Here is a 20074-nt window from a genome sequence, read left to right on the forward strand (position 1 = left end):
TTTATAAATAACTTAAATTTTAAATTTTTTTCTGGAGTTATCTATCTAGGAAGTTAAATATAATATAAGAATTAAGAAAAAACCAAAAACTTTGAAATTAATTATATTTTTGCAAGACATTTGTCAAATAAGAATCCATGATTTTTTTCAATGTGCTTTAGCTTCAGCAGAAATTGGCTAAAGAAGATAAAGAACAGAGAAAACTAAAGTTTAAGCTGGAACTCCAAGAGAAAGAAACAGAAGCTAAAATTGCTGAAAAGACAGCAGGTATAGTAGAGGAGTATTAACACATGGCTTGAAGAATCACACACAAGGTTATTATATGATGTATCTTGGTGAATACTAGCATACTGGCTTATTTGCCAAAGGAGGGGAAGCTCTCCTTTTTTTTTTTTTTTTTTTGGCTGCTTAGAAAATAGGTGGCTTTAACATCCTGGTACTGGTATTAGTGAGAGCTTTACCTGTATTCATACTGATTTGGGCATTAAATGCATTGTTAACACCATGTCAATCCAATCACAAAAAGGTTGTTTGTTTTGTTGGAAGGGGCTGAACAAACAAGGGGAAATAATGATTACCAGTGCCTCTACCTTTCAACCAGCAGTTCAAATACCACTTATTGTTTTAGCTCGTTGAGAGGAAATACTTCTCCTTTGTATGAAGATAGTCACATATTCATTGCCAATGGAAACCTACATTTGATTAAAAAATCTGTTTTGTGCAATTAATAAGTTTTCATCTGATGACGTAGACGCTAATAGAGGTAATATTTTCCCTGAGATTAAAGTGAAAGGTTGCCAAACTTTCAGATTATGAATGATTACCTTAAATATATTCTGGAGTCTATGTTTACTCACAGGTCTTTGCAAGCAGAAATTTTTAAATGTATTTTTGATATGTTATAGATACAATGAAATGATTCACAATAGTCTATGATCTCCATCTGTGTATGCCACTGTGAATGTATCTCTCACATTGTTTTAGTATGTTAAGGAAAGAGAAATTTCATGGAGTAATAGACATTAGCATTCAGAGCCATTTTAGATATCACTGATTTTTAACATTTTTATATCATTTGGAATGCTTTTAAGAAGCAATTGAATTTTGTGATTAGTCTGAGGTCATAATCATGCTTTACAAGTCACTTAATGGGATTACATAGGTGAAAGAATTATTTTAGGTCAGAAATATGATTAACTAGGAGAGCTTGCTTTAAAATATGATTGTGGAAAATAGAACTAAACATTGCTATGAAAATATAACAAAGATGACCATAAATAAATACACCAGCTGAATACTAGATAGTTGCTTTTCTGTTAATGTTAAACTACCGTAATGTTTTTATTTTTGTGTGTGGGAAAATATGAAAGTAACATATTTTAAGGAAAATTAATAGTTTGTTAAAAATAAGCATTTCAAATATAAATTTTGAACAATTTGGCAATTTCTTGGCTTTTTATAATCATGTATAAATATACTAATTTTTAGGATACTATTAGAAGAAATTTGTTTTGGATACTCTTACAAGAATTTTGATGCATTTGCATAATGTTAACTTTGCATATGTCTTACAGAAATAATTTAATAAGATTAGGGTTTTCATAACCTATTGATAATCATGAATTAATGTGTCTGCCCAGCCCATTTATCTCTTGGAGGGGAAACCTAATTAAGCAATAATATTTACTCTTTAATTTTTTTTATAATGTAGCTAAGCAGATACTTTACATATTTATTTATTGGTATATATTTAAGTGTTCCCATTTGAACAGTTTGAATCAGGCATTCATAACATGGAAATAATTTGATTACTTTGTTATATTTCTCATTAATAACAAAATATTATATTAATAAATGTCAATTATTTAAAAGATGTTTAATAAAATATTTATAGCATTCTAAATTGATGAAAATAACAGTGTTATTTAGTTTCTCTGGAACAAAACAATCTAGTTAAAAGAGATATGTCCAACCATTTGCTTATAAAAATGACACAAAATGAAAATTCCCAAAGTTGTTTTAAGGGATAAATTTTCAAAGTATATCTTTCCTCTTTAATATTTTACTTCTATCTCATTTTAAGAAGAGACTTAAAGTATTTTTCCTATAACATTAGAAAGAATTATTGTTATTATGTCAAAATAATATGAATTGCTGAAGAAATTCATTGGTTTAAAACAACAAAAAATTTGGTAACTGACCCTTTCTTTGGTGGACTTTTGAACCTTTTCATATTTTCCCATTTTATGTATGGTCTTAATAAACTTGTCTTAAATAAACTTATTTTCTATCTGATGAATAGGAGGTACAGTCAAAAAGCAAAACAGAACAACAAAAACTACCTTGTCAGTATCTTAATAGAAAAAAGAGCAGTATAGGACTATGATGACATCTAATGAATTCTTTATTTCTTGTAATGTGAAAGAACAAATAATCCACATATGCATGGATGTTTGTTTCTATGACTGCTCATTTTTATATTTGAAATAAAAAGTGTATTTGGCAAAATATGTTATAAGCACGCACACATACATAAGTATTATAACGTAGTTAAGCAGAATATATATGTTTAAAAAGATCAAACCATTTCACAATAAAAGAAATACTTATAAAAACATCTGAACTAAACATTGGAAACAGCAAATAGGAGACAATCTGTCTATAGATTTTAAAAATAAAATGTTAATTAAAATATGAGGTACCCTAAGGAAATAGTAGGCATTTTCTTAGAGTATGTAAAATATAGAGATTTATATTTAAAGATATTCATATAATATTAGTTGCAATAGCAAGAAAATTAAAAACAGTCTAACCATAAGGGAATTATTAAATAAGTTATGATACATTTATAATTTGAGACATTTTGTAATAATTAAGAATATTTGAGGATATGAGAAAAACTTCATAACTATTAAGTGAAATAGGGGAAAAACTATAGTATGATTTTATAAAAATAAAAATATACATACATGTATATTATATAAAATAAGAGGCAAATGTTGGTGGTCTTTAAGTGAAACTATTGATTTTTCAGTGAACAGTTTCTGCCTTTTTCAGATTTTCTATAATGAGCATAGATTTAGTGTTAAAAAAAAACATTGCTTTCAAAAGATGTGATTTTTTTTTTAGAAATTACTTGCACTCTAATCTTAAAATTTGAGACATAAAGACTCTATGGTTTTATGAAAACCATATGATGGCTGTGATCCAGTTTTGCCATTTTTTACCCACACCCTTTTTTTAGTCTTTCAGCTTTTCCTTGTATTTATTTTTATATATTTATGTTTATTATGTATCTATATATATATTAGTCCATCTTGTCTTCCAAGGTGATTGTATAATTTAGAAGAATCTGGTACAGTCAAGACCACATAAAACAAAAGATGTCCAGTTCTCTGTAGGCAGTTTGGAGCAATTGGGAAGACCAAAATCCTTAGAGTCACATTGATCCAGGTTCAAATTACAGCTTGGATACTTGATATTGATTCTCTACCGTTGGGCACGTTTTTTAGCCTCTTTGGGTTTATCTTCTCCGATGTAAAATGTGAATATTAACCAACTTACCAGATTATTTTAAGGATTAGTGTTAATATATGTAAGGACATGGTATATAACTAGTACTCAGTAAGTTGTGTCTCAAATTAATATTATTTTATTGCTTTTACGTTTATGAAATTCTTAAATCTTTGATGTCATCATTTCCAGCAGTTATGAAAAGACATTTTATTGTTTGGCTTTTAATTAAAAATTAATGGGTTACTGTTAATAGATTTTGAAAGGGCACTAAACTGAAAAATGGACAAGCAAAAGAAGAAACAAAGTATTGGATTATTAATAAAATCACAGTTGAGATATAGATATTTAATATCACTAATACATTTTACTCAAATGTGAATTCAAAATAAAAGAAATGAGATGCAAAAGATTTCAGCTTTTCTGCAATATGTACCTATGATAAACTTTCATGTAGACTGTTCCTTAGCTTCAAGTCTTTTTCCTTTGTTTCCCCACTGGTTTTTTCATAACACAAATCTGTTATTCTAATGTGATTTTATGATAGTTTGAAACTCAGCTCTGTCCCCTATCATGTTAAAATCTCTGATGGTTGACTACCTTTCTTTTCCTTTCTCACATCACCATCATTACTGTCATTGTCACCATCATTGATACTGTTTATTAAGCACTTAAATGTTTCAGAGGAACTATGCTTACTTCTTTACAAATCAAACAAATATTTATTGTGGACTCATTATGTTCTAGGCACTGTGTTAGACACTGAATATAGATCAGCATATAAGACAGATTTGGGATCTCAGGCATTTTTTTGCCTGGTATTACTTCTCAATCATAATACACCATACATGTTGTAAGTAGTGGTTAAATGCGCAGACTTGGGATTCAGACCTTTGTTCTAATCTTTTTGACACTTATCATGTGTAATGACAGCCTCACTAAGCATTAGTTAAAAATCTACTATAGGTTGTTGTGATGCTTAAGTGAGATAATGTTTACGAAGTGCTTAACCCATAGAAGGCACTCAATAAATAATAATTATGATGATAAGATGATGATGTAACCATCTTGTTTTCTCAAGACTTCTTCATCTAATAGAGGACATACTCAAAGTGTTCCTAATTGTGTGGTTATGTAAATTACTATCCCATACTAATTATATAGATAAGTATGGGATAGCTATTTATATATGGTTTTGTTTCACAAGGAATTGATTGTTTATTTCTTTTGTTAAAATAGTTTACAAAGAATTTTTATTTATTATTTAATTTGATCCTCAGTTTTGAGTTTTCCTAGATTTTTAGAATTAACCTTATTTCAAAAGTGTGCAAATATTTTTTTAAAATTTAAAATCTCTAAAAAAAAGTTAAAATGTGTAATAAATAATTCTTATTTAGTCTTAGGAAAGCTGAAATGACCATCTCACTCCTTATGTGTTAATGATTTACTTCACTGTAGCTGTTTAAGACTTTTTACTGAGTTTTAGCTCATTAAATTATACATGTGGGTAATATTATTTGAAAATTGTATGAATGACCTTCAAATACTAGGGGATGTTTTAGAGAAGCAGAGGAGAAACATTGCATTTTTGTTCTTTGAGTATGTATCTCTTCTCACCTAAAAAAAGTCATTAAAACACAAGCATTTTAAAATTTATTTTAGTTAAATTGAGTTTAACAATGAGACATAGTATGCTATGGCCTGATTTGCATCCATTAATTTGCTCTTATATCAGTGATGATGTGTTTTTATGCCTTTTAAAAATAGCTTGTTCAATTAAACCTTTCATTTTTCCTAAACAGTCACAGTGGGCATTATCTAGTGTTTTTGTTTCTTTAATTTTTGTTATTCTATTAAATTCTATTCTATTGCTTTTATAGTATGCAGATGATGCTTGAATTTTACGTAAAAGTATTTAAATAGTGTTTTATATGTTATTTTGTGATATTTAAAATATTTGTATTTCTTTAAAAGCCTTATTTTTCTATTTCTTAAAAGCTCACTTTAGAGCCTCTGCTTTATATGTTAGTTATTTTTCTTTCTTGCATGTCATCCATTAAAGATTAGCTGTGGAAGGTTGGAGCATGGAGAGATTATGAATGACAGAACAACTCCTGTAGAATAATAATCAGTTTTTGGTATTTAATGCTGTTTGACTTTTGCAGACACATTTCTTATTAACCTTTGGTACAAAGAGAAATCCAGGTTCCTGATATCTCATGGAGAAGATGAATTTGAGATCCTCTTCCAATTAAACTGAAATAAAGCCAATATTAGGTTTTAGCCAAAAGAACTCCTTAGTTCCTAAGTCTTGTGTTTTTAAGTCTCTCCCTTTCTCTCTCTCTATTATCTAATCTATCTTACTGCATTTTAACATGTAATTCAATGGTTACATAATTTGCTTAGCTTACTTGTACTGATGATGCAAGCATTTGATTTTTCTCTTTAAACATAGATTTCTTTCTCTGCATGCAAATTTAGACTGATATTTTGTAAATTAAAAAAATATGTTGTCAATATATTTTTTATTACAGAGAATGTTTATTTTCTTTTGGTAGAGAGAAGAGGAGTTTAATTGTGATTGTTCAAAGGATCAGTCACAGAATCCCTGAAACTTACAACTTAAGTTTTTCTATTCAGGTTAAAATGTAAAGGGTAAAAATATAGATTTGTAATCTACCATTATAGCAAGTATATCAAGACACCCCAGTGGATTAAAATGGGAAAAAATTATATTATAGAAAATGTTTACATTATTCTCTTGTAAAAAGATTATCTGTTACTATGTATCATATCTCAGATGATGTTGACCATCTAATTAAGAGGAACAAGAGTTAATTTTCTTTACCAGAACAGAAAATGGCATAACTTTTATCTTTAAGAAATAGTACATATTGGAATCTAATTTTTCTGTGTATATAATGGGCATCAATAAAATGTGATAGCCTTTAACCTAATACTTGAATGCCTTAATAGTATTAAATTATAATGCTACATTAAATTTATATTTGTATTTTTTTAATTTGAAAAGAAAAAGGATTTCAAGAATATGAACACTAATTTCAGATAAGAACATGAAGGCCCATGTCTGTGAAACACAGCAGGTAGAAATATTGATAGACTATTGATTATATTACTGTCTTTGGCTACAGAATTCTATGGATATGAATCAGAATGAATTCTGACGAGTGCCAGGTCAAATAATACTTGAGGAAAGAATATAACCAATTTGTATCCTTGCTTCCTAGAAAAGTTTGGTTTTTTTCTGGAAAAGCAATAAAATTGGAGTAGATGGAGGATCCATTATACATAAGAATAGCCAACAGCTGGAAATATTTTATTGGGTTTAACATACAATGGACTTTAGCATAATGTCAAGCCTTTGAAAATATATGTAATTAAGGTATTTAAAACATAAAAATAACAAAAATAAAACTTTTCAGAAAGTTATCTAAAGACTTTTTCACACGTCTAATGATTCTAAAGAGGAAATGAGATTAGAAAATGTTTAGATAGCAGTTATATTTCAAAGAATTTTCATATTGGTATCAAATTTAAGGCTGATAGTCTGTTTAGTAAATAAAAATTTTTTAAGTTATATTTCAAAAGACATACAATTATCAGTACTGATTTTAATGCTTCAGGGATAAACTTTTCTCTTTCACATTGGAAAAGGTAGCTCCAATATCACATATATTAAATCTTTGAATGTAAGCATAGAGCATATTTTCAGAAAACTTTTTTAATATAGTCTTTGAGTTTTCTGTAGTAAATACATGTGTATAGTAATCGAGGGTTTTTTAAAAAATGCTTTTGATTCATTGTCTTGCTACTGAAACATACTATTTTGCATAATTTTCAAATTAATTTTGAACACTTCCTGTACTGATGCTGAGTGTATAAATTTACAGCAACTTTACAGGGGAAAATTTGACAATATATATTAAGAGCTTTAAAAGCTGACTTTTAATCTAGCCATCATACTTCTAGTAATTTTCTTAAGTAATTAGGTGTGTATATACATAAAGATGTGTATACAAAGATATCCATTACAGTGTTGTTTATATAGCCAATAGTTGGAAATGGTGTACAATCTAATATTAGGAGCATCTTAGTTGAATCACATATAGCATGTCCAAATGATAAAATTTCACCTGCTATTTTATATTTTTTAAGAATACTGAAGAATATAGGAACATATGCTGCTTATTTTAATTACAGGGTTACAAAGCTATACTAAATATTTTTCTCCTTTAAATTTTTATGAGTTTGTACTACTGTTTAATCAGAAAAAGTTATTTACAAAGTAATTGTATAAAATGTTGCAAAGTCCAGTTTTAAAAAAACAAATAGTCTGGTCTATGAAAGAAGTTCTGGAGTAATAAGTTGAATTCAGCATTGTTATGCCAAAAACAGAAACATCGAACTAATTTGAGTCGGTTTTGGTTAATTTTCTACTGGTGTGGGGCATCTACCATCTATTTTAAAATTTCCAATAGCCAGTTTATGCAAAGAAGGAAAAATTACAATTATTAAGGAAATTAAAATATATAATGTTTGTAGTTCTAGAATATATATGTGGTGGTTTTATAAATGTTAATTGTTCTCATATTTGCAAGAAATGAATTTAACATCATTATAAGTCTTCTCCAGATGGTTATTTCTCATGTAAAACTAATGGTAGATATTCATAGAATTTGAGATTCTTTCATATGTAGTAAAGTCTGGTCTTTTACAAAATTATTGTGTATATTATATTGCTTAGAATTTTCCAACATGAATTATTATCCAGTTATTTAATATGTTTAAAATCCTAATGATTTCTTTTTCCTTCTTTTTAATTTAGCCTTTTATATTTACATAACTACCATAAGATGTTAACAGATGGATTCTTTTTCCTGTGAAATGTCTATCCTCCCAATTATGTTATTTAGAGAATCATGAGCCAGTGTTTAAACTAGAATGTTATCCAAGGTACTGTCTCACTCGTACTGTATTTTAAAAGTAGTTTGAAAAGTGTGGAATATGGATTTGCCAATAGACTTGGGTCTACTAAGAAAATATGTACTCTGCCTTGACTCAATAAACTCATACTTAGTGTGGTTCAGCTTCTTCATATTTACTCTTGCCCATATTAGAAAACAATTAGCTTACTAAACAAATTTGAGTATTTGGTTGAGGGGGGTACGGGTGATCCTCTCTGAATCTTTCTCATTTGACTAAGAATTATAGGATATTTGATAACCGTGTTTAAAAATGGAGATATCCAAATATTATTGTAAACACCCAATGATTTGTTTTACCTACAATATAAGTATTTTACTTGGTTGGCTTACATAGTAGCTAATAATATTTGTTAATGTAATTTAACTGCTGTGAACCTTTACTGAACAAATATTGAAATTTATTCAAGTCAAAGAAAGAGAATCTCTAATGACTTTTGTTAAAGCTTCTATTTAACAGTTAAGGAGAAAAGTTTGTATGACATACGAGATGCAATTAACAGTAGATTTTACATTTAATAAAAAGAAAGAAGCATGCGTATTTGCTTTATTCATTCCATCATAATTTGCATTAGAGCTGTGGGTGTTTAATGAGCAAATTCCAACTAAAATGCTATATTGATTTTCTAGTGAACTTTGTTATAGTCATCTACCTTGGAAAAGCTCAGTGTTTACAATTAAGTTTTCTTTACTAAAAATGTTTGAGAGTTGCATATTGATCCTTCAAAAGTACTGAATTCCAGAATCAGGATTTTTTATAACCAACAAATTTCACATCTAACCTAATAGATGTTAAAAATTATCATGCAGTAAATACCTTAATTTTGGTTTTGAGGGTTTTTTTGTTTTATTTTTAATTGACAAATAATAATCGTATATATTATTCCCTTAATTGATGTATGATTTGCAAATTTATGAAGTGCAATGTGATGTTTCAGTACATGTACATACATTGTGAAATGATCAAATCAGTCTGATTAACGTATTCACCACCTCAAATACTTACTGTTTCTTGGTGATAAGGACATTTAAAATGCATTATTTTAGCTTTTTGAAATATACATTACTCTTCATTATAAGTCACCTTGATGTGTAATAGATCACCAGAACCTATTCCTCCTGTCTAACTGAAAATTGTATTTTTTGACCAATATCTCTTCTTTCCTCCTCCACCCTCATCCCCAGCCTCTGGTAGCTATTGTTCTACTCTTTACTTATGTGAGTTCCACTTTTTTAGATTCCACATATGTGAGATCATGAGGTATTTGTCTCTCTGTGCTTGGCTTATTTCGCCTAGCATAGTGTCCTCTAGGTTTATCCACGTTGTTGCAAATGACAGAATATCCCTTCTTTTTTTCAGCTTTTCCAGCTGAAAAACCTGAATCCTAGCTTTTAAAGGCTGTATTGTATTCCATTGTACCACATTAAAAAAACTCATTTATCTATTGTTTGGCACTTCAGTTGTTTCCATATCTTGGCTATTGTGAGTAATGCTGCAGTGAACATGGGAGTGTAGGCATCTCTTTAACATACTTCTTTCGACTCCTTTGGATACATACCTGGAAGTGGAACTGCTGGATCACATGGTAACTCTACTTTTAGTTTTTTGTGGAACCTCATACCGTTTTCCAAAATGGCTGTAGTAATTTACAATACCACCAACATTGTGTAATGGTTTGCTTTTCTCCACATCCACACCAACACTTGTTATCTTTCGTGTTTTTGATAATAGCCAATCTAACGGGTGAGATGATAGCTCATTGTGATTTTAGTTTGCCTTTCTTTGGTGATTAGAGATGTTAAGCTTTCTTTATATAACTGTTAACCATTTGTGTGTCTTTTTTTGAGAAATATTTGTTAGGTTCTTTGCCCATTTTTATTTATTTTATTTTATTTAGTTTTGAGACTGAGCCTCACTCTGTCGCCCAGGCTGGAGTGCAGTGGCACGATCTTGGCTCACTGCAACCTCCACCTCCTGGGTTCAAGTGATTCTCATGCCTCAGCCTCCCAAATAGCTGGGATTACAGACGCATGCCACCAGGACTGGCTAATTTTTGTATTTTTAGTAGAGACAGGGTTTCATCATGTTGGTCAGGCTAATTGTTATTGAATAGTTCGAGTTCCTTGTATATTTTTGGTATTATTCTTTTCATTAATGTGTCATTTGCAGATATTTTCTCCTACACTGTAGGTTGTCTCATTATTGTTTTCTTAACTGTGCAGACGCTTTTTAATTTGATGCAATCCTATTAGTCTTTTTTTACTTTCACTGCCTGTGCGTTTGGGGTCATATTCAAGAAGTCTGTGTCTAAACCAATGTCATGGAACTTTCCCCCTGTGTTATCTTCTAGTAGTTTTATAATTTCCAGTTTTATGTTTTAGTCTTTAGTGCATTTTAAACTGATTCTTGAATAAGGGATGAGATGATGCCTATTTTTATTCTGCATGTGGATATCTAATTTTCCCAGCACCATTTATTGAAGAGATTGTACTTTCTCCATTGTGTGTTCTTGGCACTTTGTTGAAAATCAGTTGACCATAATTGTGTGGATTTATTTCTGGCTGCTCTATCCTGTTCCATTGGTCAGTGTGTCTTTTTATGACAATACCATGCTGTTTTTTTGTTGTTTTGTTTGGTTTGGTTTTTTTGAGAAGAGTCTTGCTCTGTCGCCCAGGCTGGAATACAGTGGCACGATCTCAGCTTACTGCAACCTCCGCCTCCCAGGTTCAAGTGATTTTCCTGCCTCAGCCTCCTGAGTAGCTGGGATTACTGGCACGCACCACTATGCCCAGCTAATTTTTGTATTTTTGGTAGATATGGGGTTTTGCCATGTTGTCCAGGCTGGTCTCGAACTCTTGACCTCAGGTGATCCACCCGCCTTGGCCTCCCAAAGGGCTGGGATTACAGGCATGAGCCACTGCACCTAGCCATCATGCTGTTTTGATTACTCTGGCTTTGTGATATATTTTAAATGGTAGTTGCTTAAAATTGCTTTGGCTGTTTGGGGTCTTTTGTGATTCCATATGAATTTTAGATTGTTTTTTCTATTTCTATTTCTGTTCCTATTTCTGTGAAGAATTACAGTAGAATTTTGATAGGGATTGCATTGAATCTTTAGAGTAATACCTTAATTTGAAAAACATTCTTATCATTTATAAATTCTATAACCAGATTTTATGTGTTTGTGCATGTGTGTTTTCTGGCATTTAAATTTTAACCTTAGAATACATAAATGGTAATGTCCTTTAAATGCACATATACATCTTTGGATTTGAAGTAGCATTAAAAAAAAAGTGTTTTCTCTTGATCACACAGGACCAAAGAAGCCCTCTGTATATAACACTTAAAACTAAAAGAGCATTTCAAAATTTTTCTGAAGTTTATTTTGTAGTTTGACAGTATAAATAAAATTTGGTTCAGCGATTCAGGTATTTGAGGCCCTCTTTGTCTAATATTGCAGTAATATTATTATTATTATTATTATTATTATTATTATTTAAGATGGAGTTTCGCTCTCGTGCAATGGCGTGATATCGGCTCACTGCAACCTCCACCTCCTTGGTTCAAGCGATCTCCTGCCTCAGCCACCTGTGTAGCTAGGATTGCAGGCATGCACCACCACATTGGATCCCTGCCCAAGGATTGTTGCAGATTAATATACAGTTAATCAAGATAGTTATTAGGCCCAGCATGGTAGCTCACACCTATAATCCCAGCATTTTGGTAGGCCAAGGTGGGAGAATCACTTGAGCCCAGGAGTACGAGACCAGCCTGGCCAACACAGTGAGACCTTGTCTCTACAAAAAAATAAAAATTTGGTAGGCCAAGGTGGGAGAATCACTTGAGCCCAGAAATTTGAGACCAGCCTGGCCAACTTGGTGAAACCCCGCTGGAGCCTGGGAGGTAGAGGCTGCAGTAAGGTGTAATTGTGCCACTGCACTCAGCGTGGATGACAGAGCAAGACCCTGTCTCAAAAAAAAAAAAAAAAAAAAAAAGAAGGTAGTTATGATTTATTTCTTAATTGTGAGTAGTGGAAAAGTGGTGGTAGAGTATTCAGCATGGATCTAATTAGCCAGTCAGTTCACACCCTGGGCTAGATGGCATAAAATTTCATTACACTACTCAAAACAATATGTAATTTAAAACTTATGAACTGTTTATTTCTGAAGTGTTTCACAATGTTTTCAGACTATGAATAACTGAAACCATGGAAAAAGGAACTACAGATAAAACGGGACTACTGTATCAATTCCTCATGCTGTTTTTTTGTTTTTGATGTTGCTGTTTGTTTGTTTGTTTGTTTGTTTGTTTTGAGAGTCTCATTCTGTTGTCCAGGTTGGAGTGCAATAGCGAAATCTCTACTCACTGCAACCTCCACCTCCCGGGTTCAAGCGATTCTCCTGCCTCAGCCTCCTCAGTAGCTGAGATCACGGGTGCCCGCCACCACATCCAGCTAATTTTTTGTATTTTTAGTAGAGATGGGGTTTTGCCATGTTGGCCAAGCTGGTCTCAAACTCCTCACCTCAGGTGATCCACCTGCCTCGGCCTCCCAAAGTGCTAGGATTACAGGTGTGAGCCACCACGCCTGGCGCCTCATGCTGTTTTGAAAGAGCCACTGCACCCAGCCAATATTTTTGATAAACTATTATTAATATAATTGTGGTATGCAGCATACAATATAGAATGGATTCTGAATAATTTCTCTTTCAGTCTCTTACATAATTTTTGCCTGCCAATGAAAAAGGCTAAAAATTGAGGAATTTTGACTTAGATTTTTAATATGTAAGCAGTACAAATTAATCAAAACCACATTATTAATATGTCTAGGAGTTAAGTCACATTGTGCGTCTGTGGTTTGAGTATGGTTACTGTAGTGGTAGAATGGAACTAACATTTGTTGATGATCCACTGTATTTTATTTATTCGGCCAAGAGCTTTCATATATTTTCTAATTTAATTTTTCATAACATCATGAATAGTGGTATTTTACCCATTTTATATACCTGAACTTCAACTAAAATAATTTAAGAAATTAACACAAACAAGCTTGCTAACCTTTAGTACCTTAAATCACAGTTAAAACTCATATTCTTCCATACACCATACTGTTTTCCATACTATGCAAGATACACCATGTTGGTTTCTCCAAGCTGTTATTATTGCCCTTACTGGACGGATATTCTGTAGCACTTTGGCCTCCCAAAGTGCTGGGATTACAGGTGTGAGCCACCATGCCCAGCCCACATTGCAGTAATGTTTTAAAAATTATGTAAGATTTCAAACATACAAACAATAAAATTATGCCTAAGAAATGATAATTTTAGATAACATTAAACCTCCTGATATAGTGCTGCAAAAATCTAGATGATGCCATTTGTATTAAAATCTATATCAACAGTGCCCCCTGCTCTGTGCAGATGTGCACTACTATAACAGCACAGCATTGTCCTATTTTATTCTTCCCTTACCCATTTTCTTTTCTCCCCTTCCACCTTCCCACTGAGATGATTACTATTTTGAATTTTGTGTTTATACTTTCCATGATCATTGTATTATTATTATTTTTATTTATGTATTTATATTTTTGAGACTGAGTCTCACACTGTTGCCCAGGCTGGAGTGCAGTGGTACAATCTTTGTTCATTGCAACCTCCGCCTCCTGAGTTAATGCCATTCTCCTGCCTCAGCCTCCTGAGTAGCTGGGATTACAGGTGCCCACCACCATGCCTGGCTAATTTTTTGTATTTTTAGTAGAGACGGGGTTTCACCATGTTAGCCGGGATGGTCTCGATCTCCTGACCTGGTGATCCACCTGCCTCGGCCTCCCAAAGTGCTGGGATTACAGGCGTGAGCCATTGTGCCTGGCCTGCTCATTGTATTGTTTTTACTAATTGTGTCTATTCATAAATAGTTGGTAGAGTTGCTTTACTTTGAAACTTGCTATTTTTGTCAGCATTTTGTTTTTGAGATTTGTCCATTTGTCCATAGTCAAGTCATTTTAAATGCTGGGTAGTATTCCATTCTGAATGTAATTTATTTATTCCTGTTAATGTTGATGGACATTTGGGTTATGCCTAAGCTTTTGCTATTATAAGCAATGCTACAGTAAGTATTTTTATACATGTTTACATTTACATATGTGCATGAATTTCTCTAGGCTATATACCAAAGAGGGGATTTGCTAGCCTAGGCCTGTCTTCAACTTCAATAAACATTGCCAAATTGCTCTTCAGATGGTTGTAGAAATATATCTGCCTATCTGCAATATGTGTGAGAGTTTTCTTTATTTCACAGGCTTACAACATTTGCTATTATCAGACCTTTAAATTTTTGCTTTAAATTTTTTAGGGGTATGAAGTGGTATCCCAGTTTTGCAGTACCTATTATTAAAAATAATATTTTATGAATTGATTGATTGATATTAATTCAGTTTATTGAGTAGTCCTTACAGTAATAATTACTTATGGCTTTTATTTTTGCTAAAGGTATACATTTGTCCTTTATTTTGTATGATTGATTGTGCGCTTTATATATTTTGGTAGCTCTGGTTGAAGAAGTGTATTTTGCGCAGAAGGAACGTGATGAAGCTGTTATGTCTAGACTGCAATTAGCCATTGAGGAGAGAGATGAAGCAATTGCACGAGCCAAGCATATGGAAATGTCTCTAAAAGTGTATGTACACATTTAAAACTCAGTATGATATTAGGAACACTTATAAAAGGCATGCTTTAGGTGGTAGTTACATATTTAAAAATGTGACTTATGCTTATGTGTTACACTAGGAAATTGCATGTCTCCAGTCTTTTTCTTTTTTTCTTTTCTTTTTTTTTTTTTGAGACGGAGTCTTGCCCTGTTGCCCAGGCTGGAGTGCAGTGGCGCAATCTCAGCTCACTGCAACCTCCGCCTCCCGGGTTCAAGTGATTCCCCTGCCGCAGCCTCCCAAGTAGCTGGGACTACAGGCGCCTGCCACCAAGCCTAGCTAATTTTTTTTTACTTTTAGTAGAGATGGGGTTTCACCACATTAGCCAGGATGGTCTCGAACTCCTGACCTTGTGATCTGCCCACCTTAGCCTCCCTCAGTGCTGAGATTAGAGGCATGAGCCACCGCGCCCGGCCTCTCCAGTCTTTTTCTAAAACCTTTGGCATGCTAGTTTGCCTGTCAGGAATAGCAGTCAGTTTAAAAAAAGAAAGAAAGAAATGCACATCACTCTCAATACAATTACTTTCTTTATTTCTTCATAGTTTTGTTGTTTCTTCATATGTGACTCCTCTTTTTATTATCTCCTCTTCTCCTCATTATCACTTTTAAAATTCATTTCAGCTATCTGAGTCTTTCACTGCTCTCTGCTTAATATCCCTGTTCCTGTTCTTTACTGCTTTTTACTTGCAGTTTTTTTAGCTTTGTTTTTTAAATGTGAGTGATACTTGAATAGGGTGGAGCCTAAGAATCTACATTTTTTAAAGCAACCCAGGTGATTCTGATAGGTAGATGATGGACTACACTTAGAGAAACAATGCCCTAGAAATATGTACTTTTCAAATTCTAATGTACAATCTGACCACTTGGGAGATCTTGTCAGAGTGCAGATTCTGGTTCATTAGGCCTGGGTTGGGACTGGAGATTCTGTCCTTATAACAAGCTCCCAGATGTTACACATGATGCTAGTCTAAGGAATATGCTTTGGGTAGAAAGGCCCTAGAACATCTAGAAATATGTTACCTGTACAGATAGATAGAATCCAGTAATCTAATATTTAATGATCAATCAGCATACTTATGGCATGTTTACCTTGTCCAGTGTTGTCCTAGGCTCTGTGGAGGAACAGAGTAAAGTACTAATTAAAACATGGTTCACTGGGGAGACAAAAAGCCATAAATAATTAATAATATGTGTCCAAGTTGTGATTAGGTAATATTTGTTTTTTGTTTAGATTAATGGCTTCATTTTTTTTGAAGATTGATAGGCTCATTATACAGCATTAAACTCATTGAAAAAAACAAATCAAGAAACAAAAAAAATCATCTAAATTCCACAATGCCTATTCCAAAATAACCATCTTTATCTATAAGGAAATATTATTTCAAATATTTTCTCTTATATACCTAAACATCATTACCTAGAAGGATAGATGGCTTGGGGTTGATTGGAGGTAGCCATAAATTAATTGGATAAAAATCAATTCATTCTCTATATGTTGTCATATTTGAAAAGCAGTGTAATGTAGAGACTAAGAGCACAGATTCTGAACCCAGTCTATCTTTGAATATTGGTTCTGCTGCTTCCTTGCTGTATAGCGATGGACAAATTACCCAAAGTCTTTAAGGCTCAGTTTTTTTGGTCTACAAAATGTATATAATAGAGCAGGTTATGAGGACTTACACAGGTTGTCATAAGGAGTAAATTACTTGTTGACTATATATGTATATATGTAAAATATTTTATATATATTTAAAAATATATATATATGTATGGGTTGGTTGGTTGTTTAGAGACAGAGTCTTGCTATATCACACAGGCTGGAGTGCAGTGGTGCAATCAGAGCTCATTGCAGACTTGAACTGGGCTCAAGTGATCCTCCTACCTCAGCCTCCCAAGGAGCTATGACTACAGGGACTTCAGGCACATGCCACCATGCTTGGCTGATTTTTAAAGTTTTTTGTAGAGGTGGGGTCTCACTGTGTGGCCCAGGCTGGTGTCAAACTCTGGGCCTCATGTGATCCTCTCACCTTGGCCTTCCAAAGCACTGAGATTACAGGCATGAGCCATTGCACCTAGCCAAATCACTGAATATTGAAAAATATGTGGCTCATAGTGGGTGCTATGTAAGTATTAACTTGAATTTAAGAGTAATAGTCAATTGAAGTGAAACTGAAGAAAATTTTGAACTTCATGCAATATTTTCTCTCAATAAGCTATATTAATTTTCTAAAAGCTCTTCTAATATTAACAAATGAGACTGAAAAAAAAGGTGTTGGAGTCATCAAATTTTTTTCTTTTTCTTTTATTTAATCTATATTTATTTTTTAAAATTGAATAGAGCCAGGGTTTCACCATGTTGCCCAGGCTGCTCTTGAACTCCTGGACTCAAGCAATCTGCCTGCCTCAGCCTCCCAAAGTGTTAGAATTACAGGTGTGAGCCACCAGGCCTGGTCAGAATTTTCTCGTAAATTGTTTCAATTGACAAGATCATGTGACTCTCAGGTATGAATTGACCTTAAAAGAAGAAGTTGAAGTAAAATTAATATAAGTAGAGAGTTTATTGGGGCCAAGCTTGAGGATTGCAGCCTGGGAGCTCAGATTCACGTTGCCCTGAAATACACTTCTATTAGCAGGAGTTAAGAATGGACTTTTATTAATTGTTTTCTTTTTTTAAGTTTTTGAGGTTTTTTTTGGTTGTTGTTTTGTTTTTTAATAGAGATGGGGCCTTGCTGTGTTGCCCAGGCTGGTCTTGAACTCCTAAGCTCAAGCAATCTGCCCACCTTGACCCCCCAAAATGCTGGAATTACAGGTCTTAGGCACGGCACCTGGCCAGGAGTGAATTTTTAAATGCAAAAAAGAGAGATAGGGAGTGGGCTGATACAAAGTTTGTCAGGAACTGTAATTACTTTACAAGAAATAACATTAATTAGTGATTGGCTATACATTGTTAAGCTATAGGGTGTGGGTCATAGTGTCTGGTATGGCATTATTAGGTTAATTTATAGCTACTTGTGGCAATAGCAAGCAGTTTGAAGAGATGAATAGAGGCCGGACATGGTAGCTCACACCTGTAATCTCAACACTTTGAGAGACTGAGGTAGGAGGATTGCTTGAGTCCAGGAGTTCAAGACCATTGTGGGCAACGTAGTGGGATCCTGTTTCTACAAAAAAAATTATTTAAAAGATGTAGCCTGACATGGTGATAAATGTCTGTAGTCCCAGCTACTTTATAGGCTGAGGTGGGAGGATCGCTTGAGCCTCAGAGATGGAGGCTGCAGTGAACCTATGCACTCCAGCATGGGTGACAGAGCAAGATCCTGTCTCAAGAAAAAAAAAAAGATGAATACATAGCTCAGAGGGTGGCAAGTAGGACATGATTGCAGTCTCGTTTTCATTCTTTCTGGGCCTGATAATTAAAAGGGCTTGCATTCCTCAGATAAAAGTTCTTTTCTCATATGAAAGAAAGAAAGAAGCACTTTAAAACTCTGCTTTTTTCATTATGAATTTCACATTAAAAAATCTGTAAAAGTTGTATTCATTTCTATAGCCACGTTAGTTTTTATAGCCAAAGTGTGCCCTGTTGTTTAATCTTAACTTTAAAAGGATTGAATAATCATTGCTGGAAGTTTTATCATAGATGGCATTTTTATCCCTGAATTTTTTATTGTGAGGAATCCCTGGGTGTGTCAGTGGAAACAGAAACACAAACTCAGTGCACTTCTTTTCTCTTATTCAACACAACAGTCAACACAGAAGCCTTTTTTGGCCAAATGTGTAGTTATTTCCTCCACACACCAAGCAAGTAATCAGTTCTGCAGTGGACACCAGCTGAGTGTCCTCCAATTAAATTCTGACACTATCTACCTGGAAAAAGCCTCAGATCCCATAGGTTGAGGGCTCAGTCCCACAAGACTGGCCCTGCTTCAGACAAAAATCGTTAAGTCCAGGCCTCTGAAACTTCTAACTGACCAGCTTCAAGTTAGTGTTCATACAGTCCCCTCTTTGGGTTTGATTAATTTGTTAGAGCAGCTCACAGAACTCAGGGAATCTTACTTACGTTTATTAAAAAGGATATGACAATGGATACAGATGAAGAGATGCAGAGGTCAAGGTATGGGGGAAGAGGTGCAGAGCTTCCGTGCCCTCCTTGGGTACACCACCCTCCAGGAACCTCCACATGTTCAGCTATTAGGATGCTCTAGGAATCCTGTTCTTTTGGGCCTTTAATGGAGACTTCATTACATAGGCATGATTGATTAAACCATTGGCCATTGGTGATGAACTTAACTGCCAGGTCCCTCTGCAGAGGTTGGGGGTTGAAGCTCAAAGTCACAACGTTTTAATCATGCAACCCTCTTCATGACCAGCCTCCATCCAGAAGGTATCTAAGGGCTGCCAGCTATCAGTTAATCATTAGCGTACAAAAAGACATCACTTTGGAGATTCCCTGTAGGTGAGGAAAGGGGTGGAAGGGTGGAATGATGACCAAATATGTATTTCACAATATCACAGCAGGTGAATGAATTTCACTTTCAAAGGAAGAGCTCATAAATACCTTATTCTCTGATTTAACATGCTTCAAATTGGCTGTGTGTTATCCTTGTATTCAAATTTTTTGTGAATATAATTCTTGAGTCAAATATCCTTTTATTCTAAACATTGTAAAAATGTTACTCGCTTGTCTTCTGACATTGTTTGCCTGAAAAGAAGTCTTGACAGATTCCCCATCCCCTTGTGTGTGTGGGTTTTGTTTGTTTGTTTGTTTTTTGAGACAGAGTCTGGCTCTGTCGCCCAAGCTGGAGAACAGTGACGTGATCTCGGCTCACCACAACCTCCGCCTCCCAGGTCCGAGCTATT

General features: G+C 33.5%; 1 protein-coding gene across 13 annotated transcripts in view; it reads left to right on the forward strand.

Moving 5' to 3' along the window:
- Positions 1 to 20074, forward strand: part of MIPOL1 (mirror-image polydactyly 1) — a 354425-nt gene that overhangs the window by 72322 nt on the left and 262029 nt on the right. For all 13 annotated transcript variants that reach the window (NM_001195296.2, NM_001195297.2, NM_138731.7 and 10 more), the window contains 2 exons: positions 162 to 267; positions 15060 to 15189. In NM_001195296.2, coding sequence (NP_001182225.1) covers positions 162 to 267; positions 15060 to 15189 — 236 coding nt within the window. The remainder of the gene's footprint in view (positions 1 to 161; positions 268 to 15059; positions 15190 to 20074) is intronic.

This window comes from Homo sapiens, chromosome 14, assembly GCF_000001405.40.
Source record: "Homo sapiens chromosome 14, GRCh38.p14 Primary Assembly".
Classification (NCBI taxonomy): Eukaryota; Metazoa; Chordata; class Mammalia; order Primates; family Hominidae; genus Homo; species Homo sapiens.